The sequence below is a fragment of the Homo sapiens genome, chromosome 10, assembly GCF_000001405.40.
Source record: "Homo sapiens chromosome 10, GRCh38.p14 Primary Assembly".
In the NCBI taxonomy this organism is placed as follows: domain Eukaryota; kingdom Metazoa; phylum Chordata; class Mammalia; order Primates; family Hominidae; genus Homo; species Homo sapiens.
Genome location: NC_000010.11, coordinates 32,039,054 through 32,064,993, shown reverse-complemented (window position 1 = coordinate 32,064,993; position 25,940 = coordinate 32,039,054). Strand labels below are relative to the sequence as shown.

At 40.1% G+C, this 25,940-nt stretch overlaps 1 protein-coding gene across 3 annotated transcripts in view, besides 3 other annotated features; it reads left to right on the top strand.

The window, feature by feature from the left end:
- Positions 8,466–8,655: a silencer, noted in NCBI's record as "silent region_2281". NCBI's record gives its function as "represses an Ori minimal core promoter by ATAC-STARR-seq in GM12878 lymphoblastoid cells {active_cell/tissue: GM12878}" and the evidence as "EXISTENCE:reporter gene assay evidence [ECO:0000049][PMID:35858748]".
- The window catches only part of KIF5B (kinesin family member 5B), a 47,411-nt gene continuing 30,039 nt past the window's right edge, over positions 8,569–25,940 (top strand). For 2 of the 3 annotated variants that reach the window (NM_004521.3, XM_047425202.1), the window contains exons 1-4: positions 8,569–9,146; positions 16,443–16,530; positions 24,537–24,610; positions 25,563–25,667. In NM_004521.3, coding sequence (NP_004512.1) covers positions 9,021–9,146; positions 16,443–16,530; positions 24,537–24,610; positions 25,563–25,667 — 393 coding nt within the window. In that variant the 5' untranslated portion in view covers positions 8,569–9,020. Of the gene's footprint in view, positions 9,147–14,470; positions 14,685–16,442; positions 16,531–24,536; positions 24,611–25,562; positions 25,668–25,940 lie in introns of all 3 variants that reach the window. The other variant, XM_047425203.1, reaches the window with a different exon arrangement.
- Positions 8,986–9,195: an enhancer, noted in NCBI's record as "active region_3244". NCBI's record gives its function as "activates an Ori minimal core promoter by ATAC-STARR-seq in GM12878 lymphoblastoid cells {active_cell/tissue: GM12878}" and the evidence as "EXISTENCE:reporter gene assay evidence [ECO:0000049][PMID:35858748]".
- Positions 15,673–16,872: an enhancer, noted in NCBI's record as "BRD4-independent group 4 enhancer chr10:32337050-32338249 (GRCh37/hg19 assembly coordinates)". NCBI's record gives its function as "activates an origin of replication core promoter dependent on BRD2, P300/CBP, MED14 and CDK7 cofactors, and independent of BRD4, by STARR-seq in HCT116 cells {active_cell/tissue: HCT116}" and the evidence as "EXISTENCE:reporter gene assay evidence [ECO:0000049][PMID:35650434]".

The window sequence follows — 25,940 nt, the reverse complement described above, 5'->3', positions numbered from 1 at the left end:
GTCTCAAAATAAAAATAAAAATAAAATAAAAAAGACATTTAGAATTTTCCTAATGAAATGGCTAGTTCCTGCCCAATCACACCTTGATGAAACCCATCGATCTCTAAACCCTACCAACATGCACAAGGTTTTCCAACATGTTTTAGTTTCTCACTCAAGTTGTTAGAATATCAACGCCCACCACTCATGTGAGGAAATCCTCTGACATGAGTGACAGATTCCAGAGAAAATTTGGGAAACAAAAGCTAAATAAAAAATAAAACATGCCAGGGGTGGTGGCTGATGCCTGGAATCCCAGCACTTTGGTAGGCTGAGGTGGGTGGATCGCCTGAGGTCGGCAGTTTGAGACCAGCCTCACCAACATGGAGAAACCCCATCTCTACTAAAAATACAAAATTAGCTGAGCGTGGTGGCACATGACTGTAATCCTAGCTACTTGGGAGGCTGAGGCAAGAGAATCGCTTGAACACGGGAGGCAGCGGTTGCGGTGAACTGAGATCGCACCATTGCACTCCAGCCTGGGTAATAAGAGCAAAACTCCGTCTCAAAAAAGATATATATATTATCTGAATAATAAGAGAAGATATTGGTCTGTGAATAGAAACATTTCATGTAAAACATCCATTTGGAGAATTAAAATCCAGAGAGTTTTACACACACACACACACACACACACACACACCCCCCATAGGGTGGGATCAGCACATCGAAGACATTTTTTTGTTTGTTTCAGACAGGATCTTTCTCTGTTGCCCAGGCTGGAGTGCAGTCGTGCAATCACAGCTCACTGTAGTCTTAACCTCCCCAGGCTCAGGCGATTCTCCCATCTCAGCCCTCCAAGTAGGTAGGACTACAGGTGCATACCACCACGCCCAGCTAGTTTTTTTGTATTTTTTGTAGAGATGGGATCTTGCTATGTTGCCCAGGCTGGTCTTGAACTCCTGAGCTGAAGTGATCCTCCTGCCTTGGCCTGTCAAAGTTGTGGGATTACAGTTGTGAGCCATCATGCCCAGTCCATCCAAGAGATATTATCCTCCTAATTACACACACACACACACACACACACACACACACACACATCGCCAATAGAAAACAGTTGAAAATAAAGTTAAGAGAATATCTCCAAAAGGAGAACAAGAAAACAAAGAAAAGGAAAATAGGAAAGAAAAGAGGAATATAGACAAAAAGAGACTAAAAGCTGCCTGGAAGAAAAATTCAGATCACATACAAATGATTAGGACTCAGAATCAGACTTAACAAAAGGAGCAATACCTTCAAAATATCAAGAGTAGCTTTATACTGCTGGTGGCTATTTGGAATGTGTTAAGAGTAAACTGGTAGAAAAAGTTAGGCAATTTTTAAATCCAGAAAAACACAAAAAGTTGTACAAGGTAGGCAATGTAATTATAGTGCACTACATGGCTAAGCTGGGAATAATATTATGTAGCATGTAAATGCTGTATATTAATTTAACTAAAAATAGTGATAGAAATATATATTGAGAAGATAAAGAGAAGAAAATACGTTGATTCAGATGGAGGCTAGTGTAAAGGAGCTATAACCTCATTTAATAATAATAATTCATAAGTCAAGAAGCAGCAATAAAATCATGTTATTTAGAAACATGGAGATAAATACTAGAAGAAATTGCTAAAAGATTTAAAGTAGTTGCCCTGGAGAACAGAAATGGAGGTTGGATTGAACAGAACCAGAACTTCTATTTTTCAGGGTTGTAGTGTAGTTTTCACTTTTTAAACTATGAGTGTGTTTCTTTGATAAAATAGAAAAAATATATAGGTTCTAAAGAGTTAAATGAAGCTGGATGTGATAGTGTGTGCCTGTAATCCTATCTACTTGGGAGGCTAAGACAGGAGGATCGCTTGAGCCCAGGAATTTGAGACCAGTCTGGGCAACACAAAGAGACCTCGTCTCAAAAAATTAAAAATAAGGCCAGGCGCAGTGGCTCACACCTGTAATCCCAGCATTTTGGGAGGCTGAGGTGGGTGGATCACCTGAGGTCAGGAGTTTGAGACCAGCCTGACCAACATGGTGAAATCTCGTCTCTGCTAAAAATACAAAAATTAGCCGGGTGTGGTGGCAGGCGCCTGCAGTCCCAGCTACTCAGGAGGCTGAGACAGGAGAATCACCTGAACTTAGGAGTGGAGGTTGCAGTGAGCCAAGATAGCGCCACAGCACTCCGGCCTGGACGACAGAACAAGACTCCATCTCAAAAAAAAAAATTAAAAATAAATAAATAAATAAATAAATTATGGTATTAAATACCATGTAGGAGTTTTCTCTCTGACCTCTGAAATAATTCTGTGTGGTACAAACCACTTGCAGAAGGTGGGACCTGAGGAAAGACGGATGGGATTTGGACAAGCACAAAGGAGAGGGACATACACAGTGAGATCAGATTGGCTTTGAAATTAGCAAATTATAATGAAGGACAGTGAAAAAGACCAGTTTCCAGGAGTTAAGAATGTAAGTCGTGGAGCAGTGGAAAACCCTAGTTATGTAATGGGGAGTCAGTGCTAGAAGAAGGCCTTGGAATCCAAGCAGAGGAATTTGAATTAGTTTGAGTAGGAAAAAGGGGCGTTGTTGTAGGTTCTTGAGTAATGAAATGATTTAATAAAGGTAATGCTTTTGGAGACTTAATCTGAAAATTTCATGCAAAACAGTGGATATGGGAGGAATTGTTTAGTCTTTTTCACTATCGTATTCCTATAGTCTATCTCAGCACCTGGACCATAGTGGGAACTCAACCTATAGTTACTGAATGTTCGAATGGGAAAGAGGCTGAGACCTCCCGTAGTAACCTCGGCCTGAAGTAGTGAAGCCTTGGACCAGGATGGGGTCCTGGAGCTAGAAAAGAGCAGGTGTGTCTTATTCAGATTTGAAAAAGAAATGCTATAATTTTCTATTCCAAAAGCCCATTTCTGGTCATTTCAACTGGAAATAGTAAACAAATTTTCTTACAGTAATAATGTTAAAAATAAACATACTTTTATAAATGTACTTATAATAAATAAGTACATTTATTTTTAAACAGTGGTGATGTTCTTAGATTCCCTCCAACCATTTAATTTATAATTAATTTAGAATATAGCCCAATCTAATACATTTATTACACTTTTAGAGGATTATTTCCAGGAGAAACATTTTAAGTTCCAAATTTTAGGTTATCATTCGAGGGATCTACTGCTATGTAACAAATGATTCAAAATGGAGCAGCTGAAAACAATAACCATTTTATTATATCTCATGATTTTATGAGTCAGGAATTAGGACAGGCCTTAGCTGGGTGATTCTTCTACTCCAAGCGTGTTAATTGAAATTACTCACTGGTATTCAACTGGTGGGTGTGCTGGCATGGATAGTCCAAGATGGCTTCACTCACAAGTCAGGTCTCTGGATGGAAGGCTGGGATCAGCTGAGACCATTGCTTAGTGCCCACATATGGCCTCCCCAGCATGGTAGTCTCAGGGTGGTTGGTCATCCTAGATGGCAGTTCAGAGCTCCTAGAGTATTCCAAGAAACTAAGGTGGAAGCTGCAAGCCTTCTTCTCACCTAGTCTCAGATAGCATGTGGTGTCATACTTCTGCCACATATATTGGTTGCAAGTGAGTCATAGGGCCAACCATGCAAGATTTAAGGAGAGAGGCTGCACAAATCTGTGAACCCAGGGAGGCACAGTTCATCAGAGACTAACTTCCATAGTGGAGTTTTTTTTTTTTTTTTTTTTGAGACGGAATTTCACTCTTCTTGGCCAGGCTGGAGTGCAATGGCAGAATCTCAGCTCACTGCAACCTCTGCCTCCTGGGTTCAAGCGATTCTCCTGACTCAGCTTCCCGAGTAGCTGGGATTACAGGCACCCACCACCATGCCCGGCTAATTTTTGTATTTTTAGTAGAGATGGGGTTTTGCCATGTTGGCCAGGCTGGTCTTGAACTCCTGACCTCAAGTGATCCGCCTGCCTTGGCCTCCCAAAGTGCTGGGATTACAGGCGTGAACCACGGAGTCCAGCCCACAGCGGAGGTTTAATGTTCTTAATCTGTATAGGTGAAAACACCACTTGCATTTCCATAAGAAAAAGTTATGCCAATAAGTCTCGAAATGTGCTCTCAAGGAAACCTGCTGTTTCACTGCTAATGCTGAATAATGGCAGTCTGTTCTATGTTCGGAAGCATTACTAGGATTAACTAGGTTTTAAAAAAATCAATCTTTTGTTTCCCCATGAAAATATTTCTTAAACCCTTATTGCCTGATACCATTATTTCTTAGTAGTGTGACAGGACAATTTTAAGAACAATTTTGTTTTTCCATAGCATTTTTCTCCTTCCTGGTTCTGTGATAACATTCAGGCTTTTTGTGCTCTCTTTCCCAGGAAAAGTATGTATGTCAGGTCTGAAAGCAGAAGGCTCTTGCAGACACTTCCCTTTCTGGCTTTTATTTATTTATTTATTGGTTTATGAGACGAAGTCTCACTCTGTTGCCTAGGCCAGACTGCAGTGGTGCAATCTTGGCTCACTGCAACCTCTGCCTCCTGGGTTCAAGCAATTCTCCCGCCTCGACCTCCTGAGTAGCTGGGACTTCAGGCACACGCTGCCAAGCCCAGCTAATTTTTTTGTATTTTAGTAGAGATGGGGTTTCACTGTGTTGCCCAGGCTGGTCTCGAACTCCTGAGGTCAGACAATCCACCTGCTTTGGCCTCCCAAAGTGCTGGGATTACAGGCGTGAGCCACTGTGCCCAGCCTCTGGCTTTTATTTTTATGAAGACTGAGTTTCCAGAATCTGTTGTGCAGGAAGAGGGGACAGGCAGGGGTTGAAAGGCAACAGAAGCTGACCAGTACCTTTGGTAGCAGAGGTTTCCAGAGCTTCACTCCCTTCCTTCTACCTCCTTTCCCTGCCCATACGCATGACGTCTCCTCAGTCACCTCTTTGGAACCTCTGTTTCTATGGAGTAGAATTTCAAACTCACTGCTCTAGATCAATCAATCCTCAGGTCTTCTGAGTTGAGGAACATAGGGGGAATGGTAAGAGTTGAAGTTCAGGAGCTTCAAATACAGACTACCATGTTTCTCTTTTGCATGTATAGGGGATAAAGGTAAGAGTAGAATTACAGGTGATTGGAACTTTCTTAGCCTGGAAGTATAGAAGAATGCTGATACCAGTCATGAATTAAGTATTGGCAGGGAGTGGGGGATAATTCGCTTCATTTCTGGAATGCTAAATTTAAGGTTATGGTACAGCATTCTACACAAGGTGGCCTGTAAGCAGCTGGAGAGATGACAATGTCAACACAGATGAAAACGTCAGGGTTTTAGATAAGAGACTCCAGCAATTGTTGAAGAAGTGAGCCCAGAGATAAGAGAGCCAGGGCTGGGGACAGAGTCCTCACAACGTCCTGCTCAAAGGTTGCAAACTGGAGGCCCACCTGCCACATCCAGCCCACAGGGATGTTTTACTTAGTTCATGCATTATTTAAATTATTTTTAAATTGATGGCCAATTTAACTTAAAAATTGAGAGTTTTAAGGACATCTGGATTATGTCTTTCTGGAAAAAGGAAAACTTGGTAGTGTTGGGCCCACAATTCTCCCGTGGTAGAAGCTGCGTAGCCACTGCTGTCTTCGGATGGAACTGCCTCTGAGCAACCACAGTCCCTTCTAGTCAATTTCACCCAATAAATGGCAGCAAGAAGTGGCAAAGATTCTCCCCTTGACCAAACTCTAGCCAGGCTCCTCTGAGCCTTTCTTGAATAGGCCTCAACCATGGCCTATAAAGACTTGAACAAAACATGAACATAGTTTAACAGCTCAAGATCAGATTTCTGGGATGACCCTAACCTCCTTTAAAGTGGTTTCCTGAGAAAATTCAAGACTACAGAAAAGATACTGTTTGTTCCAGCCAATACCTGAAGATAGGGTCCCTGTCTCCTAGGTTCTGCGGGAGGGCAGGAGCCTAACCTCTATAAGGACCAGTTAGAAAACCCAGATGGGTTCCACGTGGACCAACCCCCACTTATTGCTTTTTGCAATTTTTCACTTCCCGGGCTCTACTGAGCTCCAGCTCATCCCCCTTTGTATTTCTTTGTGCTCCCTTTAAAACGTCCAGTTACCTCTGTACAAGTCAAAGTTGAGTTCAGTTGACTCTGGCTTATTTTCCCCATTGCAATAGTGTGTTATGCATTAAAAGTTGTCAATACCACTTTAGCGTCTGGCTTGTTTTATCTTTGACAGAAGGCTACTAGTCAACAGGAACCAATGAAGGTGTTAGGTTTCATTGCTGTTTTAAAGATGGGCTGGCTGAGCGTATTTGTTTCCCTTTTTTCTTCAGGGAAGCCAAGAAAAGGGAGAAATCAAAGATGGAAGAAGATGGTGGCCATTGGTATTGGACGAAGTTGGAAAGAATTTTGAATGCAACTGAGAAATTAGTTTTTGAGAGGGAGAGTGCTGACTTTTTCTGCAATTAAAGATAAGGATGACAGGATATAAATATGATGAAGGAACCAGGCAAAGAATAATAGGACTGAAAGAGTGAGAAAGTAAGACTCTACCTTCATTGATCAGACTGGACTAACAGACAGAGATAAAGCCAGCTGAAAGGTAAGCAGAAAAGTATTTCTCTCAAGGACATACTACATTTATAAAGTGTCACACAAACTCCTTCTTTGAGTGACCTAATTTCTTTCTTTTTTTTTTTTTTTTTTTTTTTGAGACAGGGTATGGCTCTGTTACCCAGACTGGAGTGTAGTGGCACGACCATAGCTCAGTGTAATCTTGGCTCCTAGGCTCAAGCGATCCTCCTGCCTCAGCCTCTGTAGTAGCTAGGACTGCAGGCACACACCACCACGCCCGGCTAATTGTATTTTTTTATTATTTTGTAGAGACAAGGTCTCTCTATGTTGCCCAGGCTGGTTTCGAACTCCTGGCCTCAAGCAATCCCCCTTCCAAAGTTCTGGGATTATAAGCACGAGCCATCATGCCTGGCCTACTGATTTCTTACTGAGAAAACTGATTCCACAAAAATCATAGACTATTACAAACTGTTGTTTGAAATTGTATCAGTAAGAATAAAACATTCCACTCTTGCTTGGAGGACCTAAGACACAGAGAAGCAGTCTTGACTTCCAAGCCAGGTGAAGGAAAAAGGGGTTTCTGAAGACAACACTTCCCATCTATCTTAACTGTAGTATTCACGGAAACAGAACCTGGGGTCCATGGTGGTCCAGACCTGATGTTAATGCCTTTATTTGCAGCTCTGCTTTGCCTGGGGCCTCTCAAAAACACTGCTTCATTTAAATGTCATCAGAACTCCACACCTCCCAGAAAGCCCTGGGTTAATTTCATCCATTCCTTTGTTTGGTGAGATGTTCCAAGGTTCCTTGAGCGTGAGCTCTTCTTCAAGGCAGTGGATTAATAAACCTGAATCTGTTGAACTCTGAATTTGTTTCTGTAGGTATTAGGATGATTGGGTGAGCACAGGTAGCCCTGGAGGTTTTCATAGTTCAGTCCTTCATTTTACAAACAAAAATTGGGGACGAGGGGGAGGAGTTGTTACTGCAGTTCTTCTGCAGCACCTCAGAGCCACTTCCTCAGAGCCACTTCCCCGTGGAATTTTATGGTACTCATCTTCTAAAACTAGAAGGCAAAGTCAACTATGGAGTGGTCTTCCTTGGATATGAAATGAACAAATTTACCTAGGCCTTTTATAAAGACCATCTTTAGGCTCCAGGTCAGTCATTCCTCCAGCACTGGGATTGATGGGTTCCGTATGTTCATTGCAGGGAAAGTGGCGGGAATTCGCTGAACTTCGTGGGGGCGGCGAGGGTGCGGGCTGGATGCAAGGTACTGGGCCGCTGGAGTGACAGAGATGCTGTGTGATGGGGGCTGAGGGCTCTTCCCCCTCCTCACCCTACTGTTCCACATTTCTTCAGCAACTTTCTTCATTCCTTAGGAAAATTTTCCTTTTTCTTTCTTATTCCTGTTTCCCCACATCCCACTCTCTCAGGAAAGAGCTACCCTTCATTGAAATCTTACTTTTTTCTGGCAACGCGCTCTAAAAAGATGGGCCAGGAATGATTCCCTCCACCCCCAGACAAAAATGAAAGCAACACTTCCTTTTAGGAATATAGTACTTTCTGTTTTTAATTTTAAAGCTAGTCAAGTGACACAGTGCGAGTGGAGAAGAAACAAATCTCTGGCTGTGACCAATTAGCTGCAAACACCACCGCAACGGGACCAGCCTAGTGATTTATTTAAACAAACGACATTAAGTAGTTAAAGCAAACCCCTTCTCCCTCAAAGAAAAGAAAGCTAAGTGCGTCTGCCTTAGCTCTGGGGAATTCTTCGGCGGCTTGGGATGGCGGGTGGGAGCTGCCGCCCTGCCTCCCCAGGAACTTCTGCGACAGGGGCAGTGCAGTAAAATTTGAATCTGCGACCCCGGGCCAGGAGTGGTGGTGGAAACAGCAGCCCGGCCGCCGCGGCAGGGTGCGAGCGCGCGCACCGATTGGTCGCCGGGCCGCCTGGCCCACTGCGCCTGCGCAGTCCTCCTCCCGCACCGCCCTGTCGCCCAACGGCGGCCTCAGGAGTGATCGGGCAGCAGTCGGCCGGCCAGCGGACGGCAGAGCGGGCGGACGGGTAGGCCCGGCCTGCTCTTCGCGAGGAGGAAGAAGGTGGCCACTCTCCCGGTCCCCAGAACCTCCCCAGCCCCCGCAGTCCGCCCAGACCGTAAAGGGGGACGCTGAGGAGCCGCGGACGCTCTCCCCGGTGCCGCCGCCGCTGCCGCCGCCATGGCTGCCATGATGGATCGGAAGTGAGCATTAGGGTTAACGGCTGCCGGCGCCGGCTCTTCAAGTCCCGGCTCCCCGGCCGCCTCCACCCGGGGAAGCGCAGCGCGGCGCAGCTGACTGCTGCCTCTCACGGCCCTCGCGACCACAAGCCCTCAGGTCCGGCGCGTTCCCTGCAAGACTGAGCGGCGGGGAGTGGCTCCCGGCCGCCGGCCCCGGCTGCGAGAAAGATGGCGGACCTGGCCGAGTGCAACATCAAAGTGATGTGTCGCTTCAGACCTCTCAACGAGTCTGAAGTGAACCGCGGCGACAAGTACATCGCCAAGTTTCAGGGAGAAGACACGGTCGTGATCGCGGTGAGTGACCCCCGCCGGCATCCCTCCTCCCGCTTCTTCGGGCCGGCCTGTGCGGGGAGTTTAGGGAAGTGGCAGGGTGCAGAATTGAAAGGGAGCGGCGGTGTCCCCAGCCCTCCCCGGCGGGGTTTGCCGGTTCAGATAACCCAGTGGAGGGAGACTGCGCAGCCTCGCGTGCGTTCCTGGATCGCCCCCACCCCAGTCTTCGGCGCCGGGAGACGGGAAGCGCCCAGCCTCAGCCCTGGACACTCCCCCACCTGGGGCAATGGAGGAACGTCCGGGCAGCAAGTTCAGTGCACGTTTGTCTGCGTGTGTGTGTGTGTGTGTGTGTGCAATTACGGATACTGTTGGTGTTTTGGATTAACCCCAAATTTGCCATTCAGAAAATATGTAATGCTAATATAAAGATCGGCTGGTGACATTGAGCTCTGAGATAAGCCGTAGTGTACTTTAGTAAAGATGCTTAGTTTTATGGAAACATAACCAGTCCTTGAACCGTATTGTTTCCCTCTGGGAGAAGGAAAAAGCACCAAAAAGAGGTACAAATATTATCTATACCTCCAACTTTCACCCACCACTTTTTGAGTGATGAAAGACTTTTCATGTTAACAACTACAAATGGCAAATCGATGATTGTAGAAAGAAATAGTTGAGCTTTTTTTTTTTTGAAACAGGATGATCAGTTTTGTTTAATCTAGCAGACCTAGCCGACTTTGGTTGGGTCAGATAAGTGCTCCGAAAGACAAATCGCATTCTTGCTAGGTTTTATGGGATAACAGCCTAGGAAAAAGTATTAACTTTTTGTTTTTGTATCAGACAGAAAGTGTTATAAAAACAAACTTATAAAAAAGATAAAAATTGACCAGTATTAGATTCATACTTCTGCAGTTAAGGTCTATCTTGAAGAAAATTGTTGTTTGGTAATCCCAAGAATAGTGAGATACTGTTTTTTTGTAATGAAAAACATAACTAGAGTTGAGTGATCATTATCAGTGAGACCAGAATGTGAGGGTTTTTAAAGGTCTGATCTCTGGCATTGAAAGGTGTGAGAAAATAGCACTCCTAGTTGAAGGAGATTAAAAATTAATTGTAAAGTATGGCATACGAAACAGTGACTAAATTATGTTGCTCTTTGTTGGTAATGCTATGTAGTAGAACTAACTTTCTACATTGTTACCATGGTATGAAATTTTAATATGTTAATTTTTCCTCTAATGTCATTCTATAGTTAATACTGTATTGGGGCTATTTAATTTGGAAATAGGGCAGAGGTCACAGGAGATGGGACATGGATGATTGAAAGCATTGACACTGAAGACAGACTAAAGTTCTTTAGGGTTTTGATGTGAAAGTTTCTCCAAAGTTCAGCTCCAAAAAATGAATTGTCTTAGCTCCTTGGTAGGCCTTTGGCAAACAAGTCATTAGGCCACTAACAATTGCCAACTATTACTGTGTAAAGACTGTCAGGCGAGTTCTTTGTTAACAAGTCCACTAGAAAAACTCGTGTGTAAATGACATCATAGCCCGGCAGAGGCGGAGTAGTTAAGCCCAGTAATCCTTTTCCTTTGGGATGGTATATTTTACATATAGTCAGGAGGCTTGCAAGGCCTGGATTAGTTGTCAAACTTGAGGCTATTAGTTTCTTAAGAGTTTTTGTGGTTTACAGTACTCAGCTTCTGCAGTGGTTGGCACATCAAACCTATTTTTCCGTTTACACTTGTTTTAAGAATGTCTTATTTCTTCAGATTTTGTGTTTACACAGATCTGTAGTTATCACTATGATTCTTTTTGTTGGAATGCTAAAATTTAGGATTCATAAAATGTACTAAGATTAGAAGGTAAACTTTGATGAGGCACAAATACGACATGAACTATGAAGAAAGAACTAAAGGAAAATGAACAAAGGAAACATACATTTATTCTAGGTTTCCATTGGGAAAAAGTTGCTTATAAGTTCCGTTTCAAAATTTCAGTACTCTATATAAATGGTAATATTAGGAATAATGGATACATTGTTGGTTTGTGAATCCGTAATGAACAGTTAACCTTTAGGTAAGCTGATAAGCATTTTAGTTGTTTTTTGGTTGGTTGGTTGTTTTTTTGAGATTTTTTTTTTTTTTTGAGATATTTTTGAGTTTTGCTCTTGTTGCCCAGGCTGGAGTGCAGTGGGGTGATCTTGGCACACTGCAACCTCCGCCTCCCGGGTTCAAACGATTCTCCTGCCTCAGCCGCCCCAGTAGCTGGGATTACAGGCACGCGCTACCACGCCCAGCTAATTTTTGTATTTTTAGTAGAGATGGGTTTCACCATGTTGGCTAGGGCGGTCTCGAACTCCTGACCTAAGGTGATCCACCTGTCTTGGCCTCCCAAAGTGCTGGGATCACAGGCATGAGCCACCACGCCTGGCCTGGTTTTTTTTTTTTTTTTTTAACGTGTAACCAAAAATACATTACAACTGAATAACATAGCCTTAAAAAATGAAAGGCAACATGTTTTGGTTCATTGTTTTCAGAAACTAGTTTCTTGCATATAGTAACGACATTAATTATTGAGGTCTCATATTTTTGTTCAGTTTTTTAAATGAATTATTTCATTTTGTAAAAGGTTATAAGAGCAGCCAGGAGGAGCGGAATTGGAAAATCTGTGGGTAAAATCTTCTCGGTTTGGTTTTTTCATTTTACTGGTTCCTAATCCTGATTCATAATGAACAGTTTAGGAGAGAATTGCTGCAATGCAGCATTTAAAACTAAATTTTTAAAAACATGATTTAAGAACATTTTGTATACAATCTTCTATTTAGATCAAAATTGAAAGAATATTGTAGTTTATGATGTTAGAAGCATAATCAGTGCTCATGGAGAAAGTAATTTTTAAGGATTCTGATTTTCTTATAACTTGAGTTTTTAATACTTTGTCTAAACTTTTTTCCTGCTACTCATGTAATCAGTGATTTTAATATGACACCATGGCAGGCAAATCTTTCATAGTGTTTCTGTGTATGCTGTACAGCCTTTAATACAGAATTTATTTTTAATTAAGTGCTTGGTGAAGTGCTATAAATGTAACATCGAATGAAATGAATTATTTTATGAAAGTCTTTAAGCGATATACATATAAACTATTTGCTTTAAATTAGAGAACTTGTTACCGCAAAGCAAGGAGGACAGGGAAACAGTTTATGTCTTTGAAATGAGCTTGCTGGAAACACCAGAAAAAAATCAGTAGAAAAAATTAGGAGCTTGCTAAAAACACCAGGAAGAAAAATCAATAAAAAAATTACATCTATCTATTTATGAATCATGAAAGTAGAATATGGTTATTTGCATCATTAAGTATCTTTACAAATCATTATTCCTTATATGGTACACCGTAAAGGCTGCCAAAAACAAGCTGTGGTAGTTCCGAGAAATTAGAAGAGAATAAAACTAATTAGATAATCTTGCCCAGTTCCTTGCCTAAGCAAAACAACATTCTCGCTTTTCAAGTGAATGATTTGGTGTTTGAACCTTCTTGATTACCTTAAGAGGGAAAAATGAAGGAGAGGAGGGAACCATCATCACATACCTTTACAGTTGTGGAATGTTAGCCCACTATAGTGTTTAACTAAGGAAAATCTAATATAATACACTCCCAAGTGATCTGAAATGATCCGCTATTCAGAATTCCAGAGAAAGACATATCCCTGCCAGAAGGGTGTCCTTCATAACCAAATTTGGTCTTCAGTCTGGTCGGTGCATACTCAAACAGGAATCACTTCCCTTAAGGAACCTAAGGTATGCAGTTGAGATCAACTTATTCCTTTTTGATTTGTCCCCTTAAAGCATCAATCAGACGTGAATGCATCTTGTGACTTGGAGTTACTAGTAATATTGAAATCTGAAACTTGGGGGATCTTTGAAGACACATGGGATTAAAAGCTGCATAATGTACATTTCGAGGCTAAAAACCAGGTTTGAAAAATACAGATGTCCAGATGAGTTTTTCTTTAATTTATTTGAAAAATAGAGATATGCCTTAATTATAGACCATTAGAAATAATTTTTGTGTTTCACAGAGTCTTGATTTTCATTCCAGGAAGCCAGAGTCAGTAATTTATGGCTAGATCTTTAATTAAAACATTTGCCTTACTTAGTATTACAAAATCATCATTTGGTTTTGCAATCAAGATAAGACTGTTTTGTCAACTTAATGCTAAGCACTTAATTTTTATTTAACAATAACTTCTAGAAAGATAATCACTCCAGTCTCAATTATTTTTATGTTTGTGTGTTACCTTTTAATAGTTGCCATTTATATTATTTTAGTAAGGTTGTAGTGGTAGTTTATATATTTGCTTGGAGTTGATAACTAGAGTAAGCAGCTTCATAAAGTACTTCTGAAGGCAGGCTTTACTATTAAAACTGTTTACTATTATGAAGCTGTTTACATTATTTCTGGCATATCTCTTGGTAAATGGTTTAGGGGCACTATTTTCTATTGATGTAAAAATTGAGGCCAGGCATGGTGGATCACGCCTGTAATCCCAGCACTTTGGGAGGCTGAGGCAGGTGGATCACTGGAGGTCAGGAGTTTGAGACCAGCCTGGCCAACATGGCAAAACCTCATCTCTACTAAAAATACAAAAATTAGCCAGGCGTGGTGGCACATGCCTGTGGTCCCAGCTACTCAGGAGTATATTTGTAGATACATATAAAATTCTCTTGACATTACTTGATCACTTATATTAGATCCAAGTGTATAACTTAACTTAGTATTCAGGTTTTTATCTGGCCTTATCCTCTATTACTCTTTGAACCCTACAGTCTGTACTAATTATTTCTAAAATTGTGTTACTCATCTACAATATCTCATATCTTTATAGTCACTAAATGAATGTCTGCTGGATAAATGAGGGAAAATTACTTTCTTTTTGCATAGAAAAAACTATTAGTATGGTTTGTTTTTGGGTGGCGATTGTTATTTTGATTGTACTTAACGTTTGTTTTCAGAATTGTTCACCATGAATATATCTTGTGTCAGCAGTAAAATAATAGATTTCTTTTAGTCACACCTGTAGAATTGAATGTTAATTGTTTCAGTAGCATCTGAGAAAAGGATACGTTCACATATGTCACAACTAAAGAATAATCAGACATCGATGCCTATTTTAAATTGATGCCAAAGTGAGATCAGCTTCTTGTATCTGTCAGTAATGCTTTCAGCTTTAGAGGAAAAACCAACAGCTAATAGTGGCTTAAATAAATAAGAGGATGTTTTTCTCACATAACAAAAAGCCTGGATATAGGCCCTTCACGGTTCCTCACTCTGTTATACTTTGTCGTCCTTAGCTGTTGCTTTTCATCATCCTGTTTGTCGTATTTGCAAGATGGATGCTACAGCTCCAGGCATTCATTCCAGGAAGGAGAAAGGGCAGTTTTAGCTGAGATGGTCCTTTTTATCAGGATAACAACACCCTTCTCAGAGACCTCGAACAGACCGCCACTTCATATTATTCAGAGCTTGGTCATGTGACTACTAGTTGCAGGGAGACTAGGCTAACAGGTATTTGGCTTTCCGGCCTATTTATTGGGAGGTAGCAAGGGAAAGGGGAATTGGGAATGGCTTTAGGAGTGTCTGGTTCATTGTTACTTTTATTTCAGACTTTGAAGTGGGGATGTGGAGGGTAGTAGGTCTTTTTCAGCTAAGACTTAGGAAGTGTTTTCTAATGTTAAGGGCTTTTTCTGGGGTCATGATTGTTTTGTGTTTTAGGGCCCAACTTCCTTCCTTTCCTTTAGGAGAAACTAGAGAGCAGGCAGATACTTGCAAATACCTAGAACCCCTTGCCTCTTATTTTTGGATACCTACTCTTTCTCCTAGATTATTAAAATTGTTCCTGCAAGCATTTAAACTACCTCAGGTCTTACAAGTCTTAAAAAAAAAATAACTTTCTTAGACATACAGCAGATTTTCTGCACCACTTGGTTACCTCCCATTCTTTTTCAATCCATTCCAATCTGACCTTTGTCATTGAGTACTTTTTAGTTTTGTCTTGGCCTCACAACTGTATTTGACATAATCACTCCCTCCTTGAAAATTATTATTTTTTGACTTGCATGGACACCACTGATTTTTTTTTTTTGTTCAATACCCCTGGCTCCTTCTCAGACTATATTAGTGGTTCTCTGAGAGTGGTCCATGGAGTCCCCAGTATCATTTCTGGGGTCCAGAAGATCAAAGCTGTTTTCAGAATAAGATGATGTCTTTTTAACCGTTTTGATATTTGCATTTGATCCTTGCTCCTTGTACTTCAACTTAACAACTTCCATTGGTTTCTTGAATGCTACACTGTTCTTTCTGCCTTAGGATCTTTAAGTATCCTCCCAGTGCCTAGACTACTTTCCTACACGAAACCTTTTTCACCCTTCATGACTAATACTGGGGAGAGTGATGATGAGTTAGTTGCTGCGTATTTTTCAGTTCTTAAATATTCTTTCTCCAAGGGTGTTTCCGTGATATTCTGCTTTCCCGTAGACTTAGGTTCTCCTCCTATATTCTCTCATTGCACTTTCATAGCACTCAATTGCATGAGTCAGAATTCTGGTCACTTAATTTTTTAATGTCTGCCCCACTATTATTTATGCTCCACTAAAGCAGAGAGGGAATCTCTTGGTTATCATTCTAGCATGTCATCTCACATTCCATAAGTATTTGTTAAATGAAAGAATGGTTGAAAAGCTGTTGCAGGACAGGCATGGTGGTTCACACCTGTAATCCGAGCACTTGGGGAGGCTGAGGCAGGAGGATCTCTTGAGCCCAGAAGTTCAAGACAAGCCTGGGCAACATAGCATGGTGGCACATGCCTCTAGTCCCAGCTGCTCAGGAGGCTAAGGTGGGAGGATTTCTTGAGCCCAGGAGGTTGAGGCTGCAGTAAGCAGTGATTGTGCCACTGCACTCCAGCCTGGGTGACAGAACCGAGACCCTGTCTCAAAAATAAATAAATAGGTATTTAAAAAAATAAAAATCACTCAGCAATATTTGGCTGCCATAGTAGTGCTAATTATAATTACTGGGAATTATAATTGTAATTACTGGGCCCTGGGAATGCAGCAAAGACTAAAGACCATTCTTGTTTTCCTGGAGTTTATTCTAATGGATTTGTGCATGGTGATCCCTTCTACTTCAAAGATTCAATGATACCAAATTATGCATACTAGGTATACTATTTTGAGGATTAAATATATTATATGATGGCATCTGTAAAGGTTAGAAATGTTCATTTACCTTTAATTTGTATAGTTGAAACACTTTTTTGTTTTTCAGTCCAAGCCTTATGCATTTGATCGGGTGTTCCAGTCAAGCACATCTCAAGAGCAAGTGTATAATGACTGTGCAAAGAAGATTGTTAAAGGTAAATATATTCAACCTGCTGAGTTGTCTCAGCAATAAGTAAATAAGTTTGTGATCTTTTCTACTTACTCAGCTTCCTTTTTTCATTTTAATGCCCCTTTCTTCTAAGTTAATTGCAGAAGAAAGTTGTTTAAATAATAAAAAGGTCAAACACAATTAGTAAATATTCTATTGCTCAAATTCCATGATCTAATTATATACAGTACCTAATTAAGGTTATTATGAGAACTATGTTACACACTTATTCTTAAGAGATGCATTTCTGTTAGATATTCCCAGGAGAGTTTCCAAGGTGGCAGTTCTAGAAAGAGAACAGTATGAGAATGAAAACAAAAGGGCTAGACACATTTCTAAAAAGTAGTGGAAAATGGCAGTCTATCATTCTTCCATTCCATTGTTATTCCTTCCCCAAAGACTTACCTATCCCTTGAGGAATTTAACAAGGGTTGCCAAGGGTGAGAAAAGTATGTACATTCCAGTTAATACTATAACTTATACAAGAATATTTATAACTTTATATATTCTAAAACCATTGAATTTTAAAGCTGAGAGAGTGCTCATTGTTTATCTGGAGTTACTTCCAGTTACTGTAGAAATCTGTTTAATCAAAGGAATGGCTGTTACTTTGTGATATGATTTATTTCATTTTTTGACAGCTGTAGTTGTTACAAAGTGCTTCTTAGATTGAGGCAAAATCTGTGTTGTGGCATTCACCACATTAAAAGAATTGGGATTCAGTATAAAAATAGGTGGATTAGGATAGCATAGGAGCACAGATGCTCATCCTAGTAACAGGAGATAAAGTGGAGTTATAGAAGGTTTATAGATGAGGTGAGGGAGGGAAAATGTGTATGTACTCATTATATCAATTTCATATTGTCTAATACAGGGAGCAAAGTCATCATGGAGATGAGGAAGGGGGAAGAGGTTCTAGGAAAAGGCATGAAATGGATGGATTCAGGCAGTGTGAGAGTATTGCCAGGCAGTATTAAGGGCCCACTCAAGGTTAGCTGCTGAAAGAGTTGAATTTTTGCCCATTTGGAGTTTTGCTAGGTGAGTACAAAAGAGGGAAGTGGGGGACAAGAGAATTGAGGATATAGTCAAAGGAGTGATTATAATGGTGGACCATGGGATCTAAGGTGGTTAAGTTACAGGAAGAAGGATATGAGGGAGGCTGAAGGGCAGTGAAAAAAGGTGGTAACATTAGTGGGTTGTAGATCTCAGTGGGGTCAAAGATTTGTTGGAATCAGGGTACTGGACGGAGTAATAGAAGGTGAATACAGACAGTCCCTGACTTAGAACAACTTAAAATTGTTCGACTTTACGATGGTGCAAAAGCAATACACATTCAATAGAAATATTCAATAGAAATATTTCTAGTACCTGTACAACCATTCTGTTTTTCACTTTCAGTATAGTATTCAATAAATCATATGAAATATTTAACACTTTATTATAAAATAGGCTTTGTGTTAGATGGTTTTGCTGAACTGTAGATCAGTGTACGTGTTCTGAGCACATTTAAAGTAGGCTAGGCTAAGCCATGGTGTTTGGTAGGTTAGATGTGTTTGATGCATTTTCAGCTTAGGGTATTTTCAACTTACAGAACATTTATCAGGAAGTAACCCCATCGTAAGTTGATTAGTATCTCTACTTGAAATTGAGATTATGGAAGCAATGCAGTTAGTAATGAAAAGGTAAAGGTGTTGTCATGGAGTTGACTTCCGAGGTAGTAAAGAAAGGATAAGGCCAGACATGGTGGGTCACACCTGTAATTCCAGCACTTTGGGAGGCTGAGGTGGGAGGATTGCTTGAGGCCAGGAGTTTGAGACCAGCCTGGGCAACAGCGAGACCCCATCTCTGTTTTTAAAATAAAAATGAAGAAAGAATAAGATCGCAGAAAATTTGGTCAAGGAGCTGAGAGGCCAGGTTATTTTAGTGGGATTATCTGCTACAGACTTTGAAACCACCAGTACTGTTTTATTACAACAGTAATGGTATTGGTGAGAGAGAGTGAACTGGGTACTGACATCTTCATAAAATGAAGGGGAATTAACACTTGTAATTGTGTAAATGACTGCAACAAAGAGGAACAGGGTCATCATGTTGTAAGCATCATGTGGTTTTCCAGAGGGATCGATCATAGAACACAATTTTACTACATTCTTTGATTGAGACATACTTCTGTCTCATCAGTACAGTTTAAGATTACATTAGCTTTCTAACCAATAGAAAGTTACCGATTCATGAATTCATGGGCAATTTGAATATACAGGTCTTTTTTGTATCTCTTGCCGCCAGCTTTAAGCCCCATTCCATACTTGCACTTTGGAGAGCAAACCTTTAAAGTGCAGATTCCATTTTGTTCATTTTAGCTCTTAATCATATTTTGAGTTTTATACTGGGGATCTAGTAAGTTGGCTGTCAGCACATTTGATAAGTCTATTAAAGTGTCAAAGGTTTTGAAGTTTGAAAAATATGATTCTAAACCATTTATAAAGTGCTTAATGGGTCATGGTCCCTAGGTTAATCTTCTAAAATGAATAAGATTGTTGGCAGTTATTTCAATCACACTGTTTGGGTATTCAGCCAACTTCAGAGCCTCTTACCTATACGATTGGCTAGTCCTTAGTTTGTCAACATACTCACAAGAAAATGATGAAAAACTTGAATCCTTTTATCAAGTGATGGTGCATGACTCTAGTATTTGCCCAAAGTACCAGTTGAATAACCATATCCAAACAGGAAATGAGGTTAGTTCAACCATAGTCTTTACTTAATAAAATTTTGGTATACTTATTTCCATAATCTATCCCTTTTCCCATTTTGAAAATGTAAATAACATTAGTGTCTTCTATTACCTTTGTTCTCTTTGGCTTTTAAAAGTAACCTACAGTAGCTGTGAGATTTTTATCCCTGGAACGTAATCCTCCTTAGTAACTAGAAACTTGGGCTCATTTGAAGCCATTCTTTTGCTATCGTACTATCCACATAAACCTTAAAGTCCCTTTCAACAATGTTTATTCTGTTGTTCTGTTTTGAGGATCATATTTGTGGAAGATGGTAGTAAATAGAAGTACCTCTGTTTTAATATCATCAGTTAATATTTTCTGGTCTTTCCTAAGCAATGCAGGTTCATTCATTCATTATTTTTTTTCTGAATATGACTTTAAAAGTTCTTTTTAGGGCCTTAGTTTTTATTTTGTTTTGGTCTTAAAGTTACTTATCCTGGACTTTTATCTTTCTCATGCTGTTCTCGTGAGTTCTGTCTCTTCTCTTGTATATCCTTAGTTACACAGTCTCTTAATAATAGGCTGATACTCAGAGTTTTTCAAAATCTATTGTTTTTTAAGTGGTACCTAACCTTAAGGAAAAGAAAAAGATGAAGTCTGTTTTCCTGACGTTTAGGATACATGCATCTATTACTTTTGTTCTGTTTTATTACTATTTGCAGTTCTAAGATGAAATCGTTTGCTTCCTGAAATTTCTCTTCTTTTCTCAAAATTTCAGTCCCTTCTTCATCCTGCTTTACTGTTTGGAACTGCGTTCAGGATAATAGTTCCCTTCTCTGTAATATGGTAAGAGTATAATCTTTAGAATCAGACAGTCCTAGATTGAATTCTAGGCTCTGCCACTTTCTTGCTGTGTGACTTTTGGCAAGTTACCTAACCTTTCCAAGCCTCCATTTCTTCTTGTGCAAAATAGGTACTAGGAGTTGTTAAGCACAATACAGGTATCAGCTGCTAATTGTGTCCTCTGTCGTTGTCTTCTTTTTTTTTTTTTAAATTGAGACGGAGTTTCGCTCTTGTTGTCCAGGCTGGACTGCAGTGGCGCCATCTTGGCTCACTGTAACCTACCTCCGCCTCCCGGGTTCAAGCAATTCTCCTGCCTCAGCCTCCTGAGTAGCTGGGATTACGGGCATGCGCCACCACACCCTGCTAATTTTTGTGTTACTAGTAGAGACAGGGTTCCTCCATGTTGGTCAGGCTGGTCTTGAACTGCCAACCTCAGGTGATCCGCCCACCTTGGCCTCCCAAAGTGCTGGGATCACAGGCGTGAGCCACCACGCCCGGCATGTGTCCTCTGTCTTCTTAGAGGACATTATTAATTCAATCAGTCGTGTTTGTATTTGGGATAAACTCATAGTCTCAGCTATTTCTACTGTACAAAATTAGACTTCCAGCAAGTGTTAGAATACAAGGTTTCTATCATAATCTCTTTCTTCTTCTATGCAACCTTTGTAATTTATGTCAGTATCACCTGGCGATGATTTCCTTTTATCTTTACCCAAGTGCTCTGTACCATTTTGGAGGAGACTGCATGTAGTAGCTGGTGGGACTTGTCCTGGACAAGGATATGAATGTGGCAGAGTTACCAATAAATACACATATTTAAGGAGAAAGATGGCGTAGGGGTAGGTCGTGGGTACCTAGGGAGGTGTGAGGACAGGAAAGCAATTAAATACATGGTAGGTTGTACTTGGGACAATCATTGTTAAACAGATTGGATGAGAAGCCATGGTTAGAAATTGTTGGTAGGCAAAGATCAGCAGAATGATGGGCCAGCTGGGATTTCTTTTGAGATAGGGATTTGATGAGCAAGTTGCCAGTAATGACCTGAAAGCAGATAGTACTCTCTGGGTCCCCGACAAGTTCACTGAGAATGCACTGGCTCATAATTATCTGGACAAGTTTATAACTTGATTTTATGTAGGGCTATTAACATTCCCTATCTGTAGATTTGTTAGATACAATTGTTACTTTTGAATAAGGTTTATCCACTTGTATTCTCTTGAATTCTGAATCTGAGTGATTTGTTTCCCTTGTGTTAAGTAGCTATTTATTCATTGCCCACTATATGATAAGCATCTCATCAGGTCTTTGTAGATTTCCTGTTTTTTCCACCATGGCTTCCTGACCTGAACTCTCTGCCGCTGTATTCACCTTTGGTTTTTCCAGATGTAGCCTACCTTGTATTTATTTTGGTTCCTCTGCTCCTTGAGTATATAGTACAGTGGTTAAGAGCAGGTCTCTGGAACCAAGTCTATTTGCATTTGCGTCTCAGCTTCATCTTACTAGCTGTGGAGTTACAGGCAAGTTATTTAACCTCTCTGTGTCTCAGTTTTCTCATCTATAAAATGGGACTAATAATAGTACAGTGCGGGCTGGGCGCAGTGGCTCACGCCTGTAATCCTAGCATTTTGGGAGGCCGAAGTGGGCGAATCTCCTGAGGTCAGGAGTTGAAGACCAGCCTGGCCAACATGGTGAAACCCTGTCTCTACTAAAAATAAAAAATTAGCCGGGCATGGTAGCACATGCCTGTAATCCCAGCTACTTGGGAGGCTGAGGCACGAGAATTGCTTGAACCTGGGAGGCGGAGGTTGCAGTGAGCCGAGGTTGCAGTGAGCCGAGGTTGCGCCACTGCACTCCAGCCTGGGTGACAGAGCAAGACTCTGTCTCAAAAACAAAAAACTAATAGTACCGTGCACGGGGTTTTGTGATGATTAAATACAATAATATATAAAAAATGGTTAGAACCTGACTCATTGTAAGCTCTCAGATGTTAATAGTAACTTTATATGATGACTTCTAATTCTCAGAGCTTTTGCCTAAGTAGTCATTTTGCTGGGGAGGCTGAAGTTCAGGGAGATACAAAGTGACTTTCTACAACGTGATGTGCTGTTATCTCACTACCTAAATATGTTTTTTCTGTTGATACAGTATGAAAGAAGTAATACTTGTTCAGAGTTGTCCACCTCTGTTTCTCATAGGAATGGCAAAAGTATATTTAAAAGGGTGAGGGAGGCTTTAGAAAGATGCTGTACATTGATGATGGTAATAAATATTCAGCAAGCATTTGAGTTCCTCTGGAGTGCCAGGCACTGTGTTAGGAGTTAAACACGGTCCTGACTTTGAGTTGACAGGCTAGTGAGTAAAGCAGACAGGTAAATTGATCGAATACTCATTGGTAAGTGTTATGATTAAATGCAGATACTGTAAGAACACATAGGATGAGACTTTTACCCAGATATTTTGGGGGTGCGTTGTGGAATTGGGTTAGAGGAAGAGGTAAATGTGATACATGAAATAATTTTGCTTTCCTTCTCAAAAATAAAAAGATTTTGAAGGAAAGTTTCAAATGTTTGGAGTCTCTTAAAATCTTCCCAGGGAAGTTAGTAATGATGTCTTTTTTTCTCATTAATAAATGTTTCTGTAGGAAATCTGTTATCCACTTAGTTGTGCCCATGTTGGGGTTTTTTTTTCTTTTTAAAATAATGAATAAAAACAAGGATTGGCTTGCTTATTAGTTTACTTTTCACTGTTATATGCTGTTTCCAACAGAGGCTTCTCTTTTTGTTTTGGCTTCCTCTAGAATAGAATGTAATTTCATAGTACCTTTCTTGTCACCAAAAACAAACAACAAACAAAATCCTCGAAAGCCAGAAATCAAAGGATTGCCTTTTTCCCCCCTTTGACCTAATAAAAGAATATATTTAAATGTTAATGTCAGAGGCTAGAAAAAAATTTCATAGGAGGGTCAGGTGCAGGGGCTTACTTAGGCCTGTAATCCCAGCACTTTGTGAGGCTTGAGGCAGGAGGGTTGTTTGAGCCCAGGAGTTTGAGATCAGCCTGGGCAACATAGCAAGACCCTGTCTCTACAAAATTTTTTTTAGAATTAGCCAGGCCTGGTGGCATGTGCCTCTAGTCCTGGCTACTTGAAGCTGAAGCAGGCAGCTTACTACACCCAAGAGGTTGAGGCTGCAGTGACCAGTGAGCTATGATTGTGCCATTGCACTCTGAACAGAGGGGAGACCCTGTCTCATAACATTTTTTTTCATAGGAACTTCTTGGTAATTGATTTTGAGGTAGGAGTGAGTGTTACACTTTGTGGGTAGGATAAAGAGGAAGGTCGGGGTTTGTGAGGATTAGCTACTAATTAACCATCAATTAGTCTTGTTTCTAAAATCTCATCTGTATGTAAATTGGCAGAGGATTTTTTTTCTTTTTGGTCACATAAAGCTTTGGAGTGTAGATGTAATGACATTTGAGATGTACACTGATACAAGAGATTCTTTATTATAAGCAGTGGAATTTAAAATTTGTTTCTTAATTAACCACAGAAAGCAGTCTGGGTCCAGAGAAAATTGCTTAGATGGGTCATCACTAAGAAAATTACTGTTGTTATATATTTCCTTTAATGTCTTTATAAATCCTTTATGTACTAAACTTTGATGGAGTCTTTCATATTAGCATAAAGAAAATCTGAATCTTTCTTGCCACTCTTTCCACAAATAATTTTGGTTTTTTTTTTTTTTTTTTGAGACAGAGTCTCACTGTGTCACCCAGGCTGGAGTGCAGTGGCTCGATCTCAGCTCACTGCAACCTCCTTCTCCTGGGCTCAGGCGATTTTTGTGCCTTAGTCTTTCGAGTAGCTGAAATTACAGGCCACGTACAGCTAATTTTTTTTTTTTTTTTTTGAGATGGTGTCTTACTCTGTCACCCAGACTGGAGTGCAGTGGCGCGATCTCGGCTCACTGCAACCTCCACCTGCCCGGTTCAGGCAATTCTCCTGCCTCAGCCTCCTGAGTAGCTGGGACTACAGGCACGCGCCACCAAGCCCAGCTAATTTTTTGTATTTTTAGTAGAGACAGGGTTTCACCATGCTGACCAGGCTTGAACTCCTGACCTTGTGATCCGCCTGCCTTGGCCTCCCAAAGTGCTGTGATTACAGGAGTGAGCTACCGCACCCAGCCACTCCCACAATATTTTATTATACAGAATTTAGTATGCAAGGGTTAGGAAGAGGGTGTGTGTGTGTGTGTGTGTGTGTGTGTGTGTTTTAGGGTGTTTTATACCTCACTAGGAATAAACATCTGATATTTTCCTGTAACATTAAGTAATTTTTTTTTTAACCTTTTCTCTACCCTGTCATCCTGTAGTTTAAGTAATTTCTTAGGAATCTTGCTTAAGGAAAAAATCCCCTGAACTATAAAATCTTTTCTCATAGATGTACTTGAAGGATATAATGGAACAATATTTGCATATGGACAAACATCCTCTGGGAAGACACACACAATGGAGGTAACGTTTTATAATCTGTACTTAGATGTGGTTTGCAATACATACAGCATTCATTATTTGTGATATTATTTCACCATGCATAAACATTTTAATTTACTCTTTATTGCCTTTTCTCATACAAATAATATACATGTAACATCATTGTTGGAATCTAATCAGTTCCTGAGTTTAAATAGTAAGGGATACCTGTATTTGAGATTATATTTGAGATTGTTTTATCAGTTAGCATAACCATAAAATAAATAACATTTTAGACAAGAATTTTTTGTCACCCTGTTATATGGGAAATTTTGAATGCTTATGTGTTGTTGATTTTATGTAGTATAAATAACTTTTTCCTGTTCTCCTTGGCTCCTCCTTCCTCAAAATAACTGTCACTCTTCTCTGATAAGAATGTTGCCATAATTATCAGTGCTGCTGTTAATAATAGATGTGGACCCACTATAGCTTTGCTTCTAGAAAACAGCCTGTGATTTTCTGCCACTGCTAAAGAGCATCTGTTTTTATCATTTATTTGAGTGTACTATATTAAGTAAATGACTGCTTCTTTTAGTGTGATTCATATTACTGATTTTCATAAAGTCATAGAGAACAAGGACATCCTAGTATTTGCATGAATTTGCCTCGAAGTAGAAGGAACAATGTAGAATTATATGGAAAGAAACTAAAACCTTTTTAATTATGTTCATTTTACAATGAACATTTTACAAGCATGGATAATCTAAATCTAGTGATTAAATGAAGGGTTAAGATCTGTTGGTAACCCATGTGGTTGATGTACAGTACTGTGTATGTGTAATAGTTGAATTGGATTTTTTAGGTATTTACAGAGCCGTTTCCACAAAAATATAGTTCCTGTCCTTTCTTGACTATAAGTTGTAGATTGAAACTCTTTGTTTTTACTTCATATTTTATAATTTATTTAAGAAGTCTAGTTTTGTTTTTTGTTTAGGGTAAACTTCATGATCCAGAAGGCATGGGAATTATTCCAAGAATAGTGCAAGATATTTTTAATTATATTTACTCCATGGATGAAAATTTGGAATTTCATATTAAGGTAAATTCCTTGAGGAAAGATTATATTTTATTTTACAGCAAGAATAATGTTCTAAAAAAATAGTAAATGCTGGTTTCTTTAATTTTAAAAATTGTTTTTCTGGAAAGGTACAGTTGAAAGATCATTCAGGTTAGTAAACTTGGATTTTTGTTCATCTGCCATTAGATGAACAGGAATGTTAACTAACGTAAATGATTAAGTCTTTAGCCTCCTTCAAAAAATAAAGGAGGTTGCTTTACTGCAGAACTTGAAGGTTTCTACTACATAAAACTA